We start from the raw sequence: 23,392 nt of genomic DNA, 5'->3' as shown, positions 1-23,392 counted from the left end.
GCAAACAAAACAGAGAATTTATCACCAGCAAACCTGTACTGAAAGAAATGCTAAAGAATTCTTTAGACACAAGGAAAATGATCCCAGAGGGAAACATGAAATTATACAAAGTATTGAACACCAACAGAAACGGTAAATATGTGAATAAATATAAATGAACACAGACTCTGTAAAATAATGATGTCATGTCTTCTGGGGCTTAAATGTATTAAGAATTAAAATGCATGCAACATAAATGCAAAAAATTGAAGCTCAATAAATGCAGTGAGCACATTCTAAGATTCCAGTATTAAAAGCAATAAAAGTGATCATTTATATTATTCTGTTATAAGTCAAGGTACATGTTGCCATCTCTTGGGTAACCAATAACAGAGTAATTTTAAGAATTTTGTTCATCCAAAAGCGCTTAAGTCAAGTCTACAGGATTGTCACCACTGCTGTGACGCTCTAATGGGAGAAAACAGAAAAGAGTGGCTTTTTCCCTAAGGGCAAGGGATTTGTCTCAGCAGCTAAACATCTGGGCAGAGTTAATACTGGTACCTAAAACCGTGAAAGTCCTTCTATAGTCATCACCTCTCAGTTTCCCAACCCAGCCAAGTACCTTTCCTTGAGGCATCTCCATTCATTTATTCATTCACTCCCCTGACAAATCCTTACTAATGGGTAACTGGCCTTGTGCTGGGGCTTGGCCCATAGAAACTGAACCAGCAACAATCCCAGTCTTCAACAAACTCACATTCTGTAGAGACAGATAATTAAACCAGACTCTCTCAAACTTAAATGTGCAAACAAATCACCTGAAAATACTGCCAGGTCTGGGACAGAACTTGAGCTTCTGCATTTCTAACAAGCCCCTAGGTGATGCCGATGTTGTTGACTGGAGGAATGTACTGTGAGTTACAATTAAAAGACAGAGTGAGAAGCACTGTGATAAAACTGTAGCTCAGAGGGGTGAAAAAGCTCACTAAAACTCACAATAATTTGAATAACTGGGATCGGACCCAAGATATATCTGACTCCAAAGTCTGTGTATGCTCTTTCCTGCCTCCCTTAAGGAGAAGAAAGGGGACTGTGGAAACAGGTAGTGTCTCAGTCTGATTTATGTTGCTATAACAGAATACCTGAGACTGGGTAATTTATAAAGAAAAGAGGTTTATTTAGTTCATGGTTCTGCAGGCTGGGAAGTTCAACAGCATGGCATTGGCTTCTGGTGAAGGCTTTTGTGCTGCATCATAACACGAAGGAAGGTCAAAGGGGGAACAGGCAAAAGGGACCAAAAAAGAGGAGGAACCTCGCTTTATAACAACCTGCTCTCTCAGGAACTAATCCATTCCTGCAAGAGTGAGAACTAGCTCACTCCCACAAGATGGCATTAATCTATTTATGAAGGATCCACCCCCATGACCCAAACATCTTCCACTAGGCCCCACCTCTCAACACAGCTGCACTGAGTTTTGCGGGGGACAAAGCATATCCAAACCATAGCAGGTAGTGGGCATTTAGTCCAGCCTCTGGGCAATGCTGCCCAAGCTGGATCTTAATAGATGAATAGGAGCTTGCCTGACAAAGAAATAAGGCAGGGAGAAGGCTCCCAGTGCAATAACTGGCACAAAAACACAAAGGGTGAGGGTCTGGATTTGAATCTCATTCCACCACTGATGAGCTTTAAAATTGTGGACAACTTACCTAATTGCCATGTCTCAGTTTCCTCAACTATAAAATGGAGATAATCATAACAGCACTCACCTCATTGGGTTGGTGTGAGAATTAAATGAGCTGGTATGTATAAAGGGTTTCGAACAGTGTGTGGCACAGTGTAAGTGCTCAATAAACATTAGCTCTGATTATTCCAGCAGTTGCTCAATATAAAGGATAAGCAGTGGAAGGAATGAGGGTGTTTCAGGCAGATGATTCCTCCTGTGCCTGGGACTGGCCTATCAGGGTGGGGGACTGGGAAAGCACTACAGTTACTGCCCAGAAGGACTGCTGCTCTGTTCTGGTGGGGAGGGACCCAGTTGTACTCCTGGGCACACCATCCCCAAGCACCTTCCACCCCAAAGCACCGTCACATCTGTTAGCTCATCTCTTAGTGACTCCAGAGGGCAGCCAGAATCGTGTTCTCCATTTTAACGATAGGAACACTGACACCCAGAGAAGTGACGTGACTTGCCCATTACCTCCCTGGGTATTAGAGGCAGGAAGTGTGGTTAATTTTAGGTGTCAATGTGGTTGGATTAAGGAATATGGAGAGAACTCATAAAGCATTGCCTCTGGGTGTGTCTGTGTGGGTTTTCCCAGAGGAGACTGGCATCTCAGTGGCTGGGGTGGGCACTGTCCAACTGGATGGGGGCCAGGATAGAATGAAAGGGCAGAAAGGTGATTTCCTCTCTCTCTTTCCCCCCTGGAGCTGGGACACTCTTCTCCTGCCCCTGGACATCAAAACTCTACGCTCTCTGGCCTTCGGACTCCAGGACTTATGCCAGCAGTCCCTGGGGTTCCCAGGCCTTTGGTCTTGAACGAAGAATTACACCATTAGTTTCCCTAGTTCTGAGGCCTTCAAATTTGGACTGAGCTATACTACCAGCATCCAAAGGTCTTGCAGCATCTTGCAGATGGTATGTCATGAGACTTAGCCTTCATAATTGCATGAGCCAATTCCTCTAATAAATCTCCTCTCACATATCCCTCTCTCTATCTATCCTACTGGTTCCATCTCTCTTGAGAACCCTGACTAATACAGTGAGGAACTCCTTATTCCCTGGCCAATACTCTTTCCAGAAAGACCTCGAGCACCATCTCAGGAGAAAAATCAATACCCAAGACCTCCAGGGCAGAGTCTAGGATTTCCTACCTGGCCCAAAGCTGTCATGTTCACCAACTATTAGCACTGATCAAGCAAAGCGTACTTCCATTTGTCAGAGAGACTGCAAGGATGTACTTGGTTCTGCCCCAATTTGGAAAGAAAGACTTCCAAAGGAAAAGATTATAGGGAAAGGGATATGGGGTTTAAGAGTAAGAGGCAATTGGAAATCAAAAATGGGCATGCACACACAGGATGCAGCTGGACTTCCTACCTGGTAGACTGCTTGGCCAGCATGGCCACGTAGGTGACCACGAAGCTCTGAAACTTAGCCCGTTGTTCCTCCCAGCGGTCATCTACTGAGTAGTAGTTGGGCAGGGGTGCTCCAAACAGGATCTCACTGCGCAGGAGGGAGCTCTTCAGATTGTCTGCAGAGAGGCCCTCATCCACATACCAGTAGAACTCAGGGTGAGTCATGGCCAGCTCCAGGGAGCCTGCAAGGACAGGGGTGGGGGCCCCAAGAGTTCAGCTGGTCAGCTCCCACCAACCCTCCCTCAAGGTCATCCAGTCTCATTGCAGCCCTGCCTCCCAGGATTCCCCCTGTCCATATCCACCAAAACTCCACCCCAGGCCCCACAACCTCTCTCTGACCCTGCCCCACCCTTCCTCAAGCCCCATCCCTAATTTACCTAAAACGAACCCTATCTCAGTCTTCTTCAACCCCAATCATTTCTCCTGCCTTCCTATGGCCAGATTTCTGGTTCTGTATAACCACATCCTGGCCCTTTTCTTAACCAGCCTCACACCCGAGGCCCACCCCACGATTTCTCTACCTCTGACCACAGCAGAACCCCCCACCATCCTTCACCTGGGTCTGCGTCCAAGCTTCCCTCTTCAGTTCCCTCTTACGCTCATCTCACACCTGAGCCCAGCCCTTTTCACCTTGCCCTCCGGCCATGCCCAGGACTCAGTTCCAGACTGACTGGGCCTGGGCCTGGGCCTGGGCCTGGCCTGGGCCAAATCTCCATAAAGAGCTGTATGAAACCTGGACCTACGCCCCCTCCCAGCATCCCGGCGGCTCACCCCGGATGTCCGCCAGGTCCTGGCCCATGCCGTCATAGTAGATCTTGCCGCCCCTCTCGGTGGGAAAAAAGTAGGTCATGAGCGAGCTGGGGGGCGAGCAGTAGGAGTAGGAGCCCAGCGGCAGATCCTTGAGCACCTCGTGGGGCTTCCAGCAGAACTCCCGGAAGCCTGGGTGGTCCATGATCTTGCGCTCGATCTCATGGATCGTGACCAGGCGCTCACTGGTGAAAATGTTGCGCTCCGCGTCGCCGCGCGCCAGGAAGATGAGCTCGATGCGCCAGTGCGCGTGCGTCTGAGTGTTGGCACTCACATAGGCGCGCGAGTAGTCCCAGCGCGAGGCGCCTCGGCGGGCACGGCTCTGATTGGCCGCGACTGCCGCGTGGGGCGGGATGCTGGGCTGGTACCGCCCATTCTTGCTCAGCCGCTGGTTTCGCGGGTCTTCACTCTGGTTGGCTGCCAGATCCTCCAGGGGCGGGGTCTCACGCCGAAGTCGCCCGCTCCGATTGGCTGTGGGCTTTTGAGCCGCGGAAGTGTCCCGGTAAGGGCCTGGGCCACCGAGTGAGGCCGCGGGGATGACGCGGGGGGCTCGGGAGGCTTGCCGCGAGCGGTTGCCGAGATGCAGCTGCTGCAGCTGCTCTGAGATAAGGCGCTGAAGCGTCTCGGAGGTGAAGTCGGCCAAATCGCGCCGGTTCCGCCCCCAGGATCCAAACTGGGACTTAAGCGCCAGAGTGAGAGCGTCGAAACGCTGTGAGGCCTCGTGGTTGCGGATCTCAAAGGCGTTGTAGGAGATGTCAATGTCCAGCGGTGGGTAGTAAAGGAACATGAAGGCTGACAGGGCCATGGGGATGCTGCAGCCCAGGAAGAGCACCAGCCCAGCACAGCACGGATTGGTGAAGGCCCAGCCCAGGGTACTCCAGAAGCCCGAAGCTGGGGGTCGGGAAGCCAGGGGCCAGTGCCGCCAGCAACACTGTCCCCCTGCCCCAGGTTGGGGCCCTGGCTTCTGGGCCCCTAAAAAGGTTTCACCCGTTGCTTCTTCCTCCTCCTGCTCCTCCTCTAGCCACACATCCTGCAGCAAGGGGTCATCCTCCGTGTCCATAGTCTGCAGGAGAGGGAGAGGGTCAGCAGGCTAGAGAGACAGTGAGGGGAAGGTGCCCTGTGGTGCAGTTCGCCCAGCCCTAGGTACCAACCCTGTCCACTCATAACCAAATACTAATACTGCAATGGAATTGCATCAAGCATGCATCAACACAACTGAATTAAACCACCGGTAAAAAATACAGAGAAAATTCCTGTTATTTGCCCATCACTTCTCCCTTTTGGGTCTTGGCTTTTGAGGCCACAGAAAAAAGGAAAATCGCAGAACAATTGCAAACAGAAAAGATGTTTCTCCTGGGGTGAGGGATTTAAAAAAAAAATCTGACTACACAATTTTCTAATGCTTGCTGCATCCTCTGACTTTAGAACTCAAGGCCAATGTAAGATGTAACTCCACTGCAACCACTCTCATTTAATGAGCAGCTGTAAAGTACTTCTAGGAAGTATCAGGGTGCAAGGGAAAGAGCATGATCTTTGGAATCAGGCAGACCCTGATTTGGATCCTGGCAGTATGAGTATCAGCAAGGCAGTGAGCCTCCCTGAACTTCAGAGTCCTCATCTATAAAATAGAAGTGGCCATTGCTGCCTCGTACGACTGTGGAGTCAAAGGTGGAAGTACTCTGCAGTCTGTGTAGTATGTTAGTTATCAGTCACGTAAGCAGATTTCCCTGCTCCCGGCTGGGGACTGTAACATGCTCAGCCATTGCCCAGGAACTGTGCCAGGGCTAGGTGCCTGTCACGGCTCTCCTGGAGAACCCTCAGTAGCTTCCCACCCCTTCTATGGGGTGCTGCAGCTGCAGCACTGTTTGTCAGGCTCGGGCCACTTAATATGCAGCTCCAGCAACATCAAACCTTTGGGCATGGGCAGGGGCCAGGCATCTGCCTCCCAGAGACTTGAGTGCAGCAGCAGGAGGGCCTGGCAGGAGAGGGCAGGGCTGGGCAGCCCGAGGACTCCAGCGGGGTGGCCCAAAGAGAGGAGGCTTTCCGGCATCCCCGGCATGGCCTATCCCCTTTGTCCTGCCTGCCCTCTGGACAGAGAGAGACTCATTATCCAGTTAGATGCTAGGCGGTAAGAGGAGGAAGCTAATTGTGCTAGCGCTAGCTAATTAATGCTGCCTTTCCTATTAACATTCTTTGGAGTGCTCCATTTCAATTAGATGATCTGTCCAGGAAGAGAGGCTGTCGTCAGTCCAGAGAAAGTAAGCAAGAGGAGGTGACGGAAGGAGGGAAACAGAGACAGAGACAGAGGAAAAGAGGAGAGAGACCGAAGGGAGAGTGGAATGGTGGGGGATGAGGGAGAGACTGAGATGCAAATAGGGAAACAAAAGAAGAAACAGAAAGGAAGAATGACTGAGGATGTGGGGGAGAGGAGGGGTGCGCAGCGGAAGACTTGCAGGAGAGAGGCCTGGAAGGGGTGGGAATTGCTCCTGTAATATGCAAGATTCGTATTAATGAAATAATTAAACTTCCCATTTGCAACGCCCTAACACGAGCCTGCCAGCTTGCCGAGGGGATGGTAACTGCTCTGAGTCCCGATTTGTATTCGCACTGGAGGCAGCTCAGACTCACCCCATCTCCAAAGGGAAAAACCAAGTCTGCATGTGGAGGTGAGTGTGGGAGCCTCTGCCCGATTCTTGGCCTTAGAAGAAGAAAGCTGATGGGAATAAGGTGGAGAGGGGAGGGGCCGTGTTTGCAGTTTTCTGGGAACTAAACCCATCCATCCTGCCCGTGCCTCAGCCTGCCTTGTGGGGAGTACAGTTTACAGTGTGTTGGTGTTGCAGGGGGTCAAAGGCCAGGATTCTGGGTCACAGCAACACTCCTTGGGTGATCTGAAGGCCCCTTGATCCCATTGCTATTCCACCAGGAATGCCATCCCCGTCCCCTAGGGGTCCACATTGAATTCATCATGCAAGTCCTTGCTCAAGCGTTACCTCTTCCAAGAAGCTTTCCCAGATCTGAACCCCCCAGCTTCCTGTCTAAGCTTCTCGCCATCCTCACTAGATTTTGCCTGGTAAAAATTACTGCGGGGAAGGGAGGGAGAGGCAGTGTAGCAGCGTGTTAAGAGCTACGGCTTTGGAGGCAGACAGACTTGGGTGCAAATCCCAATTGTAAGATTTAGGGCAGGCAGTGTAACTTTGATGAGCTTCAGTCTCCCCATCTGCAGAACGGGTATAACAGTACTCACCGCAGAAACTGTCAGAAGGATGGCGTACACAACAGACTGAGTACGGTGCCTGGTAGGTATAAGTGCTTGGGAAATGACAGCTACTATTCTTTCATATGCTACTTCCCTCCAAAGGCTGGAACCCCTAACAGATACATGTACCTGGCTGTGTTTTCCAAAGATGGCTGCAACAATATCTGCCATCTCACATGCTTATCTCATGATGTGACTTTGACACTCCTCCCATCAAGCAGGCAAGGCTGCCAAAATCACCAGCCCACCCAGATTCAAGGGGAAGGAATGCAGGCATTAGGAAATAAAGGAAGATGCAGCTTCCTTCTGGCTCTCTTCGGACGCTCATCCTTGGGATCAGCCACTGTGTTACGAGAATGTCCAAACTAGCCCATGCAGAGAGATCACTCGTAGGACTTCCTGCTGACAACCAACCTGACAGCCAGCATCAACCACCATGTGATGTGAGCATGTGAGCGACGCTGCTGCAGACAATTCCAGCCCCCGGTCATTGAGTAACCACTAGCCTTGAAGTCTTTCCAGCCGAGGCCCAGATACCACAGAGTAGAGCTCAGCCATCCTCTCCTGTGCCCTGTCCTGACCCGCGGAATGCACGATAGTTATTATACATCTCTGCACTCTGGGATGTTTTGTTACATAGCAATAGCAACTGCAACAATTGCAGTGAAGCCTTGTTCTGTATGTGTGGCTCCATACCCTGCAGACAGCATTTGCTGGATTTAAGTGACCAGAAAATTGGGCCCAGCCACTCCACCTCCCAGTGAGAGCCCCACAGGCGGGTAGATGTGAGCTTTAAGGGAGCAGGGACTTACTTGGCTGTCATATTCCCTGCTGGCTTCTCGTGGCCTAAAACACCCTTGGGGAGGGGGGGCAGTCAGATATTTGTTGAGACAAAGAAGGAAAAGGAGTCTCCGATGAACTTGGGTGAGGTATTCAATAGAACTTTCCCCTGGACAAATGAATTAACAGCATTCACAGCAACCTGGATGAGATTAGAGACTATTATTCTGAGTGAAGTAACTCAGAAATGGAAAACCAAGCATCGTATGTTCTCACTGATACGTGGGAGCTAAGCTATGAGGACGCAAAAGCATAAGAATGATACAATGGGCCGGGTGCGGTGGCTCATGCCTGTAATCCCGGCACTCTGGGAGGCCGAGGTGGGCGGATCACGAGGTCAGGAGATCGAGACCGTCCTGGCTGACACAGTGAAACCCCGTCTCTACTAAAAATACAAAAAATTAGCTGGGCGTGGTTGCAGGCGCCTGTAGTCCCAGCTACTCGGGGGGCTGAGGCAAGAGAATGGCCTGAACCTGGGAGGCGGAGCTTGCAGTGAGCCCAGATCGCACCACTGCACTCCAGCCTGGGCGACGACAGAGCAAGACTCCGTCTAAAAAAAAGAATGATACAATGGATTTTGGGGACTTGGGGGGAAGGGTGAGGGGGCAAGGGATAAAAGACTACAAATAGGGTGCAGTGTATACTGCTTGGGTGATGGGTACACCAAAATCTCACAAATCAGCACTAAAGAACTTATGTAACCAAGTACCACCTGTACCCCAATAACCTATGGAAAAATTTTTTAAAATTTTAATTTTTTTTAAAAAAAGAACTTTCCCCTGGACAGAAAGGGCAGTCAGATCCCAAGCCACATAAGCATAGGCAGGGGATATAGCTTCCTCCGGGTTGGGAAGGATCTGGAAGAGTGTGAAATGGACAAGGCAGGAAGTGGATTTGATGAGTTCTTGGTCTATCATGCACCCTCCCCACCCCGTGCCTGCCTTCTCAGTCTGCCCCCAACATGAAAAGTGCCACAAGGGCATCACACCAGACTGGTGGTCAACCCACGTGTCTCCAGGCCTGGCCCAGCCACCAGCTTTCTGGGTGGCCCTGGGTATGTCCTGCCCTTCTTGGGGCTCTGTCTCCCCTATCTCAGAGCGGGATGGTAAAAGCCCAGGTCCTTCCAGCTGTGCCACCCCTGGAGTCTCCAAGAAACCCCAGCTAGCCCTTCCCACCTCCCAGTCTGCAGCCCGAGTAGGGCAAGAGCCATCTGAGAGTCCCTCGCACCAAACTGAGGCTGGGCTGGTAAGGGTGGAACACGAATGCCTCAGCCAGCACCTCCCTCCGCAGGCCCCTCCACAGCTGGTAGGATGGGCAGCAAATTGTAAATTTGTTTTCCTTCCTCAAATGATGGGAATTGATTAGCTTAGCAAGGAGCTCCAGCTGCTCCGTGGAAAGGAACCAAGGTGGTTCCTGTAGTAGCTGTCATTGATTCAGACAAAGCCCGGAGTAGGACTAGGAGGACTGTGGCCATGGGGGTGGAGTGAGGTGGGGTAGAGTAGGGGCTGTGATCAGGCCTTTCTGGGCCCTGGGAATGTTCTTCTCAGTGACCAATGCCCTTTCTCTCTGCCTCTGTCTCTGTCTCTCTCTCACACATACAGGCACACTCAGAGGTAGTCAAAAATTAAACTCTGGGCCTTGCCGGGGCCCATGAATCAAGGTGGATGCATATCCACGAAACCAACCATCCTCCTCTTGGGAAAGGCAACCGAGGCAGCTGCTTAAAAGAGAACAGGCCCTAGGGAGCCTCATAAGGAAAGACTTCACCCACTTTCAAGCCCAGGCTTGTGGAAATCCAAAGCCATATCTGCAGTCAAATCCCAGCTTTATAACAGAAAAAAAAAACGCACATCTATATGCATTTAAAAACCCATTAATAGCAGTAACCTGTTTGGGAGGATTATGGGTGATTTTTATTTTCTCCTTTGTACTTGTCTGTTTCTAATTTTTCTGCAATGATCAGGTATATCCTTACTTTTAGAATCAGAAATAAATGTTATTTAAAAATAGAATATGTGTGTATGTGTGGGGAAGGGATTTTGCTAACAGCCTTCAACTCTTTGAAGAATTACTGTAATAGGCAGGGGAGGAGGGCTCTGCCCTCCGAGGAGAGAAACCAAGGAGAGTTGGCTTAGGTTGTAGCAGGACAGCGCCCAGTGAGAAAGCAGAAGGACCTTGGACAGGGGGAGCTGGCAAATGCCCTGTGGGTGAGTGTGGAATCACCTATTCCCCTGAGATGGGGAGAGGGATCGTTCAATGAGCAGGAAGTAGCTAATGGCCCACTGGACCCAGAAGAGACCTGAGTATACCTTGTCCAATGCCTTCATTTTACACATGGGGAAACTGAGACCCCAGGTCCAGTCAAGGAGAAGGGACTAACCCAAGATCATCTTATCAGTGGCAGGACCAGGATTCCTGGATGAAGTTTTCACTCTACTCCATCCCCAGATTCTGGGGGCAGTTTTTGGCAGCCCCAGGAAACAACCAGACCTGGGGTGAGATGGCTTCTGGACTCAAAATGCCAAAATAGGAGAGCTATTTTTGTTTTTGTTTTGTTTTGTTTTTTGAGACAGAGTCTCGCTCTGTCACCCAGGCTGGAGTGCAATGGTGCGATCTCAGCTCACTGCAACCTCCACCTCCCGGGTTCAAGCGATTCTCGTGCCTCAGCCTCCTGAGTAGCTGGGACTACAGGCATGCACCACCACGCCTGGCTAATTTTTGTATTTTTTAGTAGAGATAGGGTTTCACCATGTTGGCCAGGCTGGTCTCGAACTCCTGACAAGCGATCTGCCCGCCTTGGCCTCCCAAAGTGTTGAGATTACAGGTGTGAGCCGCCACACCCAGTTGGGAGAGCCATTTTTGAAGTTGAAGAGAAAAGCCAATCTTCAAGTCACAGGCCAGATGGACTTCCCCATTTGGACAGAATGGGGCTTTGGTGGGAGGTGGTGTTGCCTCAAAAACACCCCCAGGCCCCTGCCAGGCCTCACTCCTCTCCAGAGCAGATGGGGCTCCCAGGGATGTGAACCCATGCCAGAGCCTCCCTGTGGTCCTGTTTATAACTTCCCTCCTCTGGCAAAGGATGACAGAACCCTTCCTTCTCCACTCCCCCATACCAGCCAGACTATTAAAATGTAATAAAAAAATCACATTAGACATGGAGATTTGACTTAAACTACGTATATGTATATACAATTTAACGGCAATTAGGAGCTAATCAGCTTTTTCTTCCTGGCTCAGGATGTTTTGCCTTCCCTGGTTCAGCTCTGGTCCTTGAACATCTTGAGGTCTTTGATTCTCTTACCCTTGGGTCGAGAGTTTTGGGCAGAAGCTCAAAATGAGTTATTTTGAGTTGAACAGCTCCAGAGAAGGGAGGAAAGAAAAGAGGAGGCCTTGGTGCCTCCCAGGCATCACTGTCCTACGTCCTGATACTCCGTCTTCTGAGAATCCACCGCTCTCCGGATGTCCTGGCTATGTGCCAGTCATCAGAATCCCAAACCTTTCCCCGAGACCTGGACACTCCACCTAGGCCAGGAGGCTGGAGAGGCACTGGAGATGTGGTGGTGAAACGGGCAAAATCACACACATGGAGTGCAGTCAAAAGCCCAGCTAGTTCAGCCCAGCTAGTTCAATGCAGAAACTCTGACACCCATTAAGACCATCATAATAATTAACTCTGCATCTACCACGTGCCAGTACTCCTTATCCATCCTCTGTCATCCTCACATCAGCCCTGCAAGGACGCTAGGGAAGGCATTATGAGCATTCACTTTTTACAGAAGCAAAATCAGAATCAGAGAGGTTAAGTGACTCCCTGGTGGTCACACAGCTACTAAGGGGCAGAACTGGAGTTTGAACCCCAGGTCTATTGATCCTAAAGCCCAGGCTCTTTTGGCCATACCAGGTAGCCTATGAGCTCTTTGAGAGCTGATATGTCAGTACTTGTTGAAGAAACCCATTGCCTTTTAGCAAGTTTGCCCCATCCCCATAAGACCACAGATCACTCGGGGCCTGGCAATTCTGCTTTCAGCAGGTGGCAACTCAGGGCATGATGTAAAGGAAGTCTCCCACCAACCTCAGAAGCTTGGCTTTCCCTTCAATGGGTCATGGGTGTGATGGTTAATTCTATGTGTCAACTTGACTGGACTATGGGGTGCCCAGATATTTGGCCAAACATGATTCTGGGTGTGTGTGTGAGAGAGAGAGTGTGTTTCCAGATAAGATTTTTTTTTTTTTGAGATGGAGTCTTGCTCTGTTGCCCAGGCTTGAGTGTGGTGGCATGATCTCAGCTCACTGCAACCTCCACCTCTGAGGTTCAAATGATTCTCCTGTCTCAGCCTCCCAAGTAGCTGGGATTACAGGTGCATGCCACCATGCCTGGCTAATTTTTGTATTTTTAGTAGAGACGGGGTTTCGCCATGTTGGCCAGGCTGGTCTTGAACTCCTACCTCAAGTGATCCGCCCACCTCCGCCTCCCAAAGTGCTAGGATTACAGGAGTGAGCCACCAAGCCCAGCCTCCAGATAAGATCAGCATCAGTACACAGAGTAAAGCAGATGGTTCTCACTAATGAGGGTGGGCCTCAACGAATCAGTTGAAGATCTGAATAGAATGAAAAGGCTAAGAGGAAATTGTTTTTGTTGACTGCTAGAGCTTGGACATTGGTCTTTTCTGGCCTTTGGACTCAAGCTGAAATATCAGCTCTTCTTGGGTCTTCAGCCTGCCAGCTATCAGACTAGAACTTACACCATTGGCCCTCCTGGTTCTCAGGCCTTCAGTCTCAAACTGCAACTATACCATCAGCTCTCCTGGGTCTCCAGCTTGCTGCCTGCAGATCTTGGGGCTTCTCAGCCTCCATAATCACATAAGCCAATTCCTTCTAATAAATCTCTCTCTGATATATATATGCTATTGGTTATTTTCTTCTGGAGAACCCTAATACAATGGGGCCGTGAAGCATCCCAGAGAGAAAGTAGGAGTGAAGCAGGGAGCCCCATCCTAGCAGCTGGATCCTAGGGCCCTCCCAGAGTCTTCTCTGAAGATGTTCCAAGTCCTACCTAGAATCTCAAATGAACACGGCAACAGAGCCAGGGAATGCCTTCCAGATCCATAGAGGAAGGGGTATGGCTGAGTGACTTTCCACACTTGTCTGAGCTCTTTCCCCAGCAAGAAGATCCTGAATCTATCACCCCATATCTCCTGCCCCAGCCCCAGGGAAACCTGGCTTTGTGGCTGCAGCTGAAGCAAGCACCTACCTCTACTCCCCATCACCCCTGCTGCCCCCTAAGAAACACGATCTTTGTTGGCTCAATTTGCCAGCCGGAAATTCAGAGGGGGTACAAATGACCATTCCTCTCTGCAAAGAAAATCTGGGCTTATTATTAGAAGCCCAGGTGGGGGTGGGGAGAGGAATCGGGTGGGGGCTCTGTGGCGAGCCTGTCCAAGCCCCCCATTTCTCAGAGAAGGTCAGGCTGCACAGATGGAGTGGATGAAGGATGACTGGCCTCCTGGGGCTGACAGCTGGTGAGGAAACTATGGGCGCTGACTCGAAAAACCCAATGGCTCAATATTTATCAGGCAAACAAGCTTTGCCTGGGTCAATATATCACCTGAGGAAACGTCCCAGCCAACACCAGAGGGATCCAACGTTCATGGGCACAACAGCCACTATCACTTTTCCTGTTCTGGTGTCCCCTCTCTAGTGGGCTCAGTGGGACAGAACCCGACCCCCTAACACCAAGAGGGAAATCTGTAAAATGGGGATGGTGATACTGCTCCCCTGCTGAACCAGAGCAGCTAGTACGATTATTAACTTCTTTTTTTTTTTTTTTTTTTTTTTGAGACGGAGTCTCGCTCTGTCGCCCAGGCTGGAGTGCAGTGGCGGGATCTCGGCTCACTGCAAGCTCCGCCTCCCGGGTTCACGCCATTCTCCTGCCTCAGCCTCCCAAGTAGCTGGGACTACAGGCGCCCGCCACTACGCCCGGCTAATTTTTTGTATTTTTAGTAGAGACGGGGTTTCACCGTTTTAGCCGGGATGGTCTCGATCTCCTGACCTCGTGATCCGCCCGCCTCGGCCTCCCAAAGTGCTGGGATTACAGGCGTGAGCCACCGCGCCCGGCCAATTATTAACTTCTTAGCCAGCCAGAGCCCAGGACTGGCCCCTGCTGTAGGCAGGTCCCCAAGTCAACTGGAGCGGACTCCCTTATTCTCTGCCCCAAAGATCCTTGGACTTTTACGTGAATCGGAGTCACTAGGCATACTCGTTAAAGTGCAAACTCTAGGTCAGATTCCAGGTCAGAGGAGGTGGGGCCCAGGAATCCGGGTTTTGTTTTGTTTTGTTTGTTTGTTTTGAGATGGGATCTCACTCTGTCACCCAGGCTGGAGTGCAGTGACACTATGATGGTTCACTGCAGCCTCGACCTCCCGGGCTCGAGTGGTCCTCCCCGCTCAGCCTCCCAAGTAGCTGAGACTACAGGTGCATGCCACCACACCTGGCTGTTTTTGTTTTTTGTTTTTAATTTTTTGTAAAGATGGCGTTTTGCTAGGTTGCCCAGGCTGATCTCAAACTCAAGCAATCTTTCTGCCCCAGTCTCCCAAACTGTTGGAATTACAGTAGGTGTCAGCCACCATGCCCAACCTGGAATCTGTATTTAAACCACCTCCCCAGGTGATTCTGATACAGGCGGTCCAGAAGCATTCTTGGAAAACCCCTGCTGCCCTGGTCATCCTCCCCTGTTCCCAGTGGCTCCCTCCAGCAACTGATTTAGCCTTGGCCTCCCCACATCCCTCCACCGTGGCTCACATGTGTCCCTGGAGGTCCGGGGTATGGACTCAGGCTGCTGTATCTCTAGCCAAGGCTCACTCCTCAGGGTGTCTTTTCCTCCATCCATGGGGAGGGAAGAAATGATGGCATTTGGGCCAGCCAGACAGGGGGATACAAACAGCACACCCAGATCTGCCAAATAGCTCTTCTTGGTAGGGCCAGACAGTAAAAGGAACTAGAAGTCCAAGGGCTTACTATCTGCCAGGCCCCTTAAAAGGGGACTAGGTGGGGAGTTTACCATCCATTGAGCACTACTGTGTGTCTGGCACATGGGAGGTGCTTTATTTATTTATATCACGTCTGATCCAACCCCCACCCTACAAGGCTGCTTACAGAGCTGAGCTGGATTGGAGCCTCTGGAGGTAATGTCAGAGCCCATCCTTTTAGCCACCGTGCCCTGATGCCAAAAGGAATTCCACCCGACTAACCCTCTCTGGCCACCTCCTGCCCCTGCCTGCACAACTCAGGCCTCACCTCCAAGACCCATCAGCACTGGAGCCTGGAGCCCACAAAGCAGCCTTGGCATCAATGAGGAAAAGACAATGGAAGCTTAATAAAATCACCAACATGGCCGGTCACGGTGGCTCACGCCTGTAATCCCAGCACTTTGGGAGGCCAACGCGGGCAGATCACCCGAGGTCAGGAGTTTGATATCAGCCTGGCCAACATGATGAAACCCCGTTTCTACTAAAAATACAAAAAATTAGCCAGGCATGGTGGCGGGTGCCTGTAATCCCAGCTACTTGGGAGGCTGAGGCAGAAGAATTGCTTGTACCCAGGAGGCAGAGGTTGCAGTGAGCCAAGATCATGCCACTGCACTCTAGCCTGGGCAACAAGAGCGAAACATCATCCCAAAAACAAAAACAAAAACAAAAACAAAAAACCCCAGCAACACTTACAGAACCTGTGAAATATGACCAGGTTCCCAGATGCCCCTGGCCTGACGGGTCAGCAGGTTCCTGGAAACTCTCACTGCAGGCCTTGGCCAATCCGTCCAGACCACCCCCACCCCCGACATCTCTCCCACCCTCAGTCCCAAGTCCTGGGTGTATGAGGCTGGAGATCACAGCTGCCAAGTACAGAGGAACCTCTGGGCCCAGCAGCCAGTCCAGCACCCCAGCATCTAGACTGCTGGGTTAATAAAAGATAAAAAGATCCCAACGATATATGACCAATAACTACGGCCATGAAAGCCAAATTGGCTTTCTTCCTGGCTGATGAGCTCAGGGCCCTTTTCATTCTGAGACGTGATTAACAAATATGTAAAACAATTCTCTCAGCATCTCATCTTGGGATCTTGCTGCAAGTTCAAGCTTGGGGGCAAGGGAGGTGGAGGAAGCAGGGGATCTGTGCCTGGGGCAGCAGAAGTGGCCCCAAGGACTTGGGGTTGGAACCTGCCTGGCCACTCGCCTGTGTGACCTAGAACAAGTCACTTAACATCTCTGGATAGGTAGTTTCTCCGTCTGCCAGATGGGGAGCGGGAAGAGATGCTCTCTAAATCTTCTGCCTCTGATTCTCAGTCAGAGAATCAGACTGAGGCAGAGCAAGGGGGGCTGGATGCTGGGAGAGGCTCCCCGTCACCTCTCTGCAGAATAACTGGAGGGGGCAGCATGCAGGGATCCTGCTGTCTTTGGAGGGGAGCACGCACAGGGGCCTGGCCAAGTGGCAAGAACAGCTGAATAGCCAATAGCCACGTACTGGGTGCCATCAGCTTTGCTGGGACACAGCAGGTGGTCACCTGCCAGTTCCTAGCTCTGCGGAAGGCTTGGGAGACTGCAATCCCTCCTACAGCCCCAGCCCGCCCAGACCACAATCTGTGGGTCCAGAGATGTTGCAAAACTCTTCTTTGCCCCATAGCGCCCAAAGAGAAGCTGGAGGATACATCAGAAGCTAAACGTGCTCAAACCTGCTGAGGGGCCGCCATGAGGCACTCGGGATGGAGCTCTGGGAGAGGGCTGTACCCGCAGCCTCACTGCCTGGGAAGGAACAGAGAACCTTAGGGCAAATCTCTTTCCCTCTGAGAACTTGGGGCTCCCCCGTCCCCTGCTGCCTGGGCCTGTGAAGGGCTGAGGAGACCAGCAGCAGATGAAAGGGGCACAGTGAGGAGATGGTGGAGGCTGCCCTTGTGTTCCTGAGCCAGAGCCCTTTCTCTTCCCATCCTCAATCCTCTCATCGCGGGGGAGGCGGTGGGACTGAATCATGTTGCATCCACGCAGCAAATTCCAGCTTCCAGGTCATTTTTGCGTAGGTTTTCTCCTCCTAGGAATTATTTCCAATTTGCAGACAAGAAAACTGAGGCTAAGGAAGTGAAGGGACTTATTTGAACCTGATTTCTGATGAGCTCAGTACCCTTCTCACTGTGGTAGATTTTATTTGAGTCTTACATGTTTGAAAATCTCAGGGTCCTAGAATCAGTCCTCCCAACCCCCACTTGGGTGTCTGTGCATGCATGCACGCACGTGTCTGCAAACACACACACACACACACACACACACACACAGAGCATCTGCCCTCAGCCGTTCTGGTCACAGCTTAGGTACAGCGCTGGCTGGACTGTGGGTCCCACGGAAGGGAGGAGGGTGGAGACATGAGAGACTGACCTTCAAGTTCCCCACCACGGGTGCCCAGGTGGAATCTCACCTTCGGTGCCCACCCAGGTCAGTGGCTCCAGGGAAGGCTTCCTGGCTCCCTTGGTGAGTGACAGCTCAGGCATGGATAGTGGGGAGCAGGTGTCCATCCAGGAGATGGGCTCAGTACCCCTCAGCCCCTGGGACCAGCACAGAGGCCCTTGCTGTGGGGTGGGGGGAGTCTGACACTGGTCTCAGCCTCAGCACCCCCTCCACAATGATGCAGCTGCCTACGGAGACAGGAGTCCGGGGCTGGTGCTCAGCCTCTAGGGCTGGGGATGGAAAGTGGCCCCTCAAGTACTGACCCCCTCCAACTCTGCTGCCTTTCTCATAAAATGCTTGGGAGGCTCAGGGCCCCAGGAACTAAGAACTGCTGCTCCCAGCCCCAAAGGCCAGGAGAGACCCAGCGAAGCTACCTGGGCTCAAAAATCTCAGACTGCTTCCCTCACACCCCCACCCTGCTCAATGGTGGAGTGTTATCCAAAGTTTAATGGGAACGCCCCTCCCCACGCACCAGTTATTCCATGATAACGGGGCTCCGTCTATTCCATGATAGAGGGCCAGGACACAGGAGTGTGACACAGGAGAGAGGATGGGGTAATTTAGGGCTGGGGAACCAGTTGAGAAGGTCAAAAGTGTTATAGGGTCCTTGGGGTCCTGAGGCAGCAGCTTCCATCCGCTTTCAGCCTCCTGGGTTCCAATCCATGCCACAGCCAGAAGCCAGAGACATCCCAAGACCAGAGGGTCCTGCAGAATGGGATGAGGGTGGGGCAGGCAGTGAGAGGGCAACGCTCAGGGAGTCAGTCTCTCTACTGAACCTGAGCCAAGGGTGTTCTGGGCCCCTCATTACTCCAGGACGGGGGAAGCAGCTGGAGGAGGTGAAGCCTGGGAATGCTCTGAGAGTAGGTCTGCAGAGGGAGAAATAAGCTACTTAAGCTACTTAGTCTTTTAGGCTGGTGACAGCGGGAATGATGCAAATTGATTTCTATTCAAGTGCTGTCCCAGGCAAGGTGGTGGCAGGGAAGGCAGAAGCCTCCTTTTCCCGAAGCAATCACCTCCAAGCGCACCTGCTGAGCCTCAGAGCAACTTCTGAGCAGGGGTAGCGGTGGCAGCCGCCCCATTACCCCAGAGCTGGGCTCAGCTGCCCATTCTCCATGTAGCTGCCCGTTCTCCATGTCCCCTCAGGAAGGGAGGACATCCATGACTCTCTCCAATCCAGAGCCAAAGCTCCCTCTCCCCCTCCCCAGGCTCCTCCGACTCAGGGCACTCTGCTGCCGACCAGGGTGGCTTCTCAGCTTTTCCTGGGGTGGGGGACATTCTTTCAAGACTGGGGGGATGAGGACAAGAGAAGGACCCTTCCCTTTGTCCATACTTGGGGTCAGGCCCTGCCAAATCAAAGCCCTGACTGTCAAAGTCCCTCAGCCCCATTCCCCAATTCATACATTTACCAATTCATTCACTCATTCTAACTTCATTCACTTATTGGTGCTTGCTATATAAAATGAGGACTTTCTGTTAAATCATCATAATCTGGCTGGGTGTGGTGGCTAACACCTGCCACCCCAGCACAGTGGGAGGCCAAGGCAGGCAGATCACTTGAGCCCAGGAGTTCAAGACCAGCCTGGGCAACATAGGGAGACCTTGTCTCTACTAAAAGTAAAAAACTTATCCGGCGCGTGGTCATGCGCACCCGTAGTCCCAATTACTCAGGAGGCTGACGGGGGAGGATTGCTTGAGCTCAGGCATTTGAGGCTGCAGTGAGCTGTGATTGCAGCACTGCACTCCAGCCTGGATGACAGAGAGCTTATCTTAAAAAAAAAAAAAATCTTAATCTTAACTTAGTGATGTCTTCAACTCCTTTCCTCCTGAAGGCTCCATGAACCTTTTCACCCCAGATCTATTCGCATGTTCATTAACTCCCAAGAACGCCAGTTGGCTGACATGTCCCTGTTCATTGCAGATTCCTGGCTCTGTTACTCTGGGATCATCTGCTGGAAGTCTCTGGAGCACCAGGTCAGAAAGTCAGAAACCCTTGGAGGGAACCCACAGCAGCTACTAGCTTGTAATGCACACTCTCAGCCAGCCTTTTCCCAGCTTCCCCGGCTAAAGAAGGGAAGGGGGCGGGGGTTCTCTTCCGGCTGCTGACACTTCTCCAAAGCCTGATTCCTCTCTAATGTCTCCCAGGCCTGGATTGCAGGGAGGAACAAAAACCAACATCCTGCCTTTGTGAAGTCACAAGATGATGCCTTAAAACCAACAAATACTTTTCAACCTGGGCGTCCCCACACACGATCATGTCCAGAGGGGTGCAAGTCTCAGCTGTGTCTACATGGAAGGAAAAGGGGGAAACATCTGGATGAAAGCCAGCAACGTCCTGCCACTCTGCCAGATGCTGCCCACATCTGGACATTCAAAAAGTGATCTGTTCGGTGGCTTAGCAGTCGAGAAGCAAATGGTCAGCCCACATCACCCTATCCATCAGAACACAGAGCCCGAGTCCCTATGCACAATTACCCAGATTACTGAAGGACTCATAAGGTACTTTGGCTTCAATCATACTCATCCTCAAAGGCCCAAATCAAGTGAAAGTAAAGGCCAGAGTGTGGGGCTCAGTCCTTGTGCGCATGGCAGCTGGGTCCCATCTCCACTGCTTATTAGTAAGCTGCTTAGACTCTCTGCACTTCACATTTCTCATCCTTAACATGGAGATAACAGTGCTATCCCCCTTGCTGAGCAGGTATGAGGATGAAATGAGATCATATCTGTAAAGTTCTAAGCCAGGGCCCGGCAGGTAGTAAACATTCAAAATATGTTGACTGTTATTATCATGATCATTATCATCAGGGTGATTGCCCTGCAGAGCTCCCCAACGAAGAACAGAGAGATCTCCCAGGACAGTGCAAAGGTCAATGCAGTTGCAGGGTGTGGGGGACACATACTTTTCCCAAACCTCCCAGGAACACCAATTTGCCACAACCTTCCCCACCCTGACCCCCGTTGAAGCTGCCTTCCCCAGAGACAAGATCACCACATCCTCCTTCACGACAGGAGTGGCTTCCAGCTGGCAGTCACGTCTCCTCTATTAACAAGGCTTGGCAAAGGACACATCATCCAGGTGCCAGTGTATGTGCTGGATGCCCCGAGCAGATGGCTGGGCGGAGTGAGCCTTCTCCACTGCACCCTCCTCCTACCAAGACATCAAGCTCATGGACAGTCTAGTTGCACTGGGGGCAACACCTACAGGAAACCTTCCTCCTGACCCTGGAGAGACCACTTGACTGGATCATGCCGTCTCAGCCCCAGGGGACAGCTGGGTCCCTCTTCTACTGTGGTGGGGGGCCTGGCTGAGACACCATTAATCATCTATCACCTCTGCTCCTTCAGCTAGAGGTCCTGGGGGGTGGGAATGGGGACTCTGATGAGCTCTACAGGGACAGAGACAGAGACCTTTCCATTAGGTTGGTGCAAAAGGAATTGGGGGTTTTGCCATTACTTTCAATGGCAAAAATCACAATTATACTTTTGCACCAACCTAACACTTCTACAAGCCCACACCTGGCACACAGTAGGACTACTCAGGCAGATGCTTGTGAGATGGGAAATAATGGAGAAGGCCTTTTCTGGCAAAGGAGGTTGAGGTCCCTGGACACTATCTCCCAGGACATCACTCTGTGGTTCCAAGAAGTGCCCCTGTAAATGGTACCTGCTAGAATCTAAATCCATGCCAATCCTTCCCACTGTCCTTACCACCCCCTTGTTCCCAGGTCAAGCTCACTGTATACAGAAACACCATAACCTGCCACCCAACAGCCTTTTCCAAACTGGCAGGTTCCCCATCTGGTTTGCTCAGAGGGAGGAACGGATGGGAGGAAGTAAATTGCCAAGATCAAGGGCATGCCGGGAGTTCTGCAGACGAGACCCTCTCCAGCATCTTCTCTCCCCTGAGTTCAGGGAGAAACATACCCAGACCTTACACTTCACTAATGCCCTCAGGGGATGGCCCCAGGATGCTGCACCGGGTTCTTCCTTCCAGGTTTTGGCAGACACACAGCCTCTGCTGGTACACATGCCAGCAAGCGTGACCAGCCTGGAGGTGTAATATAAATAGCCTGCCGCTGCCCATCAGCTCCTCCGCCCCCTTGGCATTAGTTCCAAACCTTCACCTTCTTCTCCCCCAGAGAGAACCAGCCAGCGGGGCTCTGCTGGGCTCCACCTGCCTCCTCACCAGCAGTGTGACCTTGAGCGGGTGACTTGACCTCTCTAGCCTCAGGCCTTTCCATTGTGAAATGGAATCAGAGCACCTCCCTCTTGAGTGGTTATGGGGATTACATCAGTTAAGGTCCAGGAAGCATTTAGCACACTGCCTGGCATTTGGCTAATGTCAGAGGGGGTGCAGCGGAGAGGACTGGAGCGATGACAGCAAGCAGCATTTCACCTCTGCACTTGGAAGGAAGTTGTTAGGTTTACTGGCTGCATCAGTTAGGTCCCCTTCCCTGGTGTGGTTTGGACAATTCCCACACACCCAAGGAAGCCAGTCCGGCTGCCTGGGAAGATCCCTGGCCTGGGATTCTGAGACTCAGGCTCTGCTACCAACATGCTGTGTGATGCTGGGCAACTCACTTGCCCTCTCTGAAGTAACTTCCCCATCTGCAGAGGCTTCTCATATCCTTGACCTCTTACAGAGTTAAGTTGTCTTTCACACTCCAAGGTTCACAGCTTGAGTCCCATTCCAGACTCTCACGGGGACTCAGCTCCGGCCCAGCCATGGCTCAGAAGCCTTGAGTACCCAGCCCAGGCCACTGACTGATGAACGCAGGTGAGGGTACCGCCCTTCACTTCTGGCCTGTCTGGCAGAGGAATTTACATTCTTTTGAAACCCATCATATAAACAGGTTTCTCGACAAGAAAATATTTATTGAATGACAGTAACCAAAACAATACAGGGTACTTGGCAAAATGGGGGTTTTTGCTTCATTCAGATCAAAATCTGATCCCAGCTTGGCCTCTTCTCGCTGTGTGACCTTGGGCAAGTCTCTTCACTTCTCTGAACTTTGTTTTTCCCACACATTAAGTGAGGATGACAATTCATGTGACATGAGATGGTGGCAAGGCTTAAGTGAGACAGTCCATGTAAATGCTTAGCACCTGGCACATAGTAGGTATTTAACACATGGCAGCTATGATTGGTTGGTATTGTTATCACCAGCCTCCCATCATAAGGCGGAGGACCTGAGGCCATCAGCCATGTCTGGTGCCCGTTTCCAAAGAGCTTTGACAACACACAGACACATATTCCTCTCAATCCTCCCGCCCGTGTACCTTCCAGCTGGTGCAGAGTGGAGTGCGGCTGTCTGGTCTCCCAGCGGCCAGGCAGAGAGTGAGCTCACTGGGGGAGGCTCTGCCGCCATCCCTGGACTGGTCCCGCAGCATCCATGCCTCCGGCCTTTGTTGGGCAGCTGCAGCGTGAGCCGCACTGTCTGCCCGTGAAATGCGACTTTTGGAAAACATACATATTTGTGAGTTGGAGCATGTTTCTATTTTGGGCCGACACTGCTCTCTTTATTTATTTTCCCTGGGCTTCGATGCTTTGGAATCTAGCTTGGAAGGGTGTTTTGACAGACTTTGACACCTCTCCCAGCTCCTTTGGCAAGACACCATGCTTGGGTAGGGGGAGGGCAGACAGAGAAGAAGACGATTTCAAACGACAAGCCCTCTTCCTTGGCTAGGACTGATGGACAATCCCACACCCCTGCCTCACTGTCCCAGCCCTCCGTTTCTCCACATTTGGGTGTGGGGAGGAGTATAAGAGGGGTTCAGGTGGGGAAACCATTTCAAAGAGGGGGAAGGGAACCAAAAAGGCTAATCACTGAGCTCTCGATTTTAACAATGCTAACATCATTATCAACACCTATAGTATTGTTATTGTCAACC

At 51.5% G+C, this 23,392-nt stretch overlaps 1 protein-coding gene and 1 long non-coding RNA gene across 11 annotated transcripts in view, besides 1 other annotated feature; one reads left to right on the top strand and one right to left on the bottom strand.

Moving 5' to 3' along the window:
- Window positions 1-23,392, bottom strand: part of DISP3 (dispatched RND transporter family member 3) — a 58,397-nt gene that overhangs the window by 31,580 nt on the left and 3,425 nt on the right. For 8 of the 10 annotated variants that reach the window (NM_020780.2, XM_047426135.1, XM_011541830.3 and 5 more), the window contains exons 2-3: window positions 3,884-4,982; window positions 3,075-3,294 (exon numbers count right to left, since the gene is read on the bottom strand). In NM_020780.2, coding sequence (NP_065831.1) covers window positions 3,075-3,294; window positions 3,884-4,979 — 1,316 coding nt within the window. In that variant the 5' untranslated portion in view covers window positions 4,980-4,982. The other 2 variants (XM_011541828.4, XM_011541829.2) reach the window with 2 other exon arrangements.
- Window positions 3,958-4,525: an enhancer, noted in NCBI's record as "H3K27ac-H3K4me1 hESC enhancer chr1:11561504-11562071 (GRCh37/hg19 assembly coordinates)". NCBI's record gives its function as "activates a minimal SCP1, AML or CMV promoter by ChIP-STARR-seq in primed H9 embryonic stem cells {active_cell/tissue: H9 hESC(primed)}" and the evidence as "EXISTENCE:reporter gene assay evidence [ECO:0000049][PMID:30033119]".
- On the top strand, window positions 6,498-10,024 carry LOC124903842 (uncharacterized). Its single transcript, XR_007065460.1, has 2 exons — window positions 6,498-6,585; window positions 7,278-10,024. It is a non-coding gene; the product is annotated as an uncharacterized LOC124903842 (long non-coding RNA).

This window comes from Homo sapiens, chromosome 1 (genome assembly GCF_000001405.40).
Source record: "Homo sapiens chromosome 1, GRCh38.p14 Primary Assembly".
Classification (NCBI taxonomy): Eukaryota; Metazoa; Chordata; class Mammalia; order Primates; family Hominidae; genus Homo; species Homo sapiens.
Note: the sequence above shows the minus strand (reverse complement) of the source record. Positions and strands in the feature narration are given on the sequence as shown.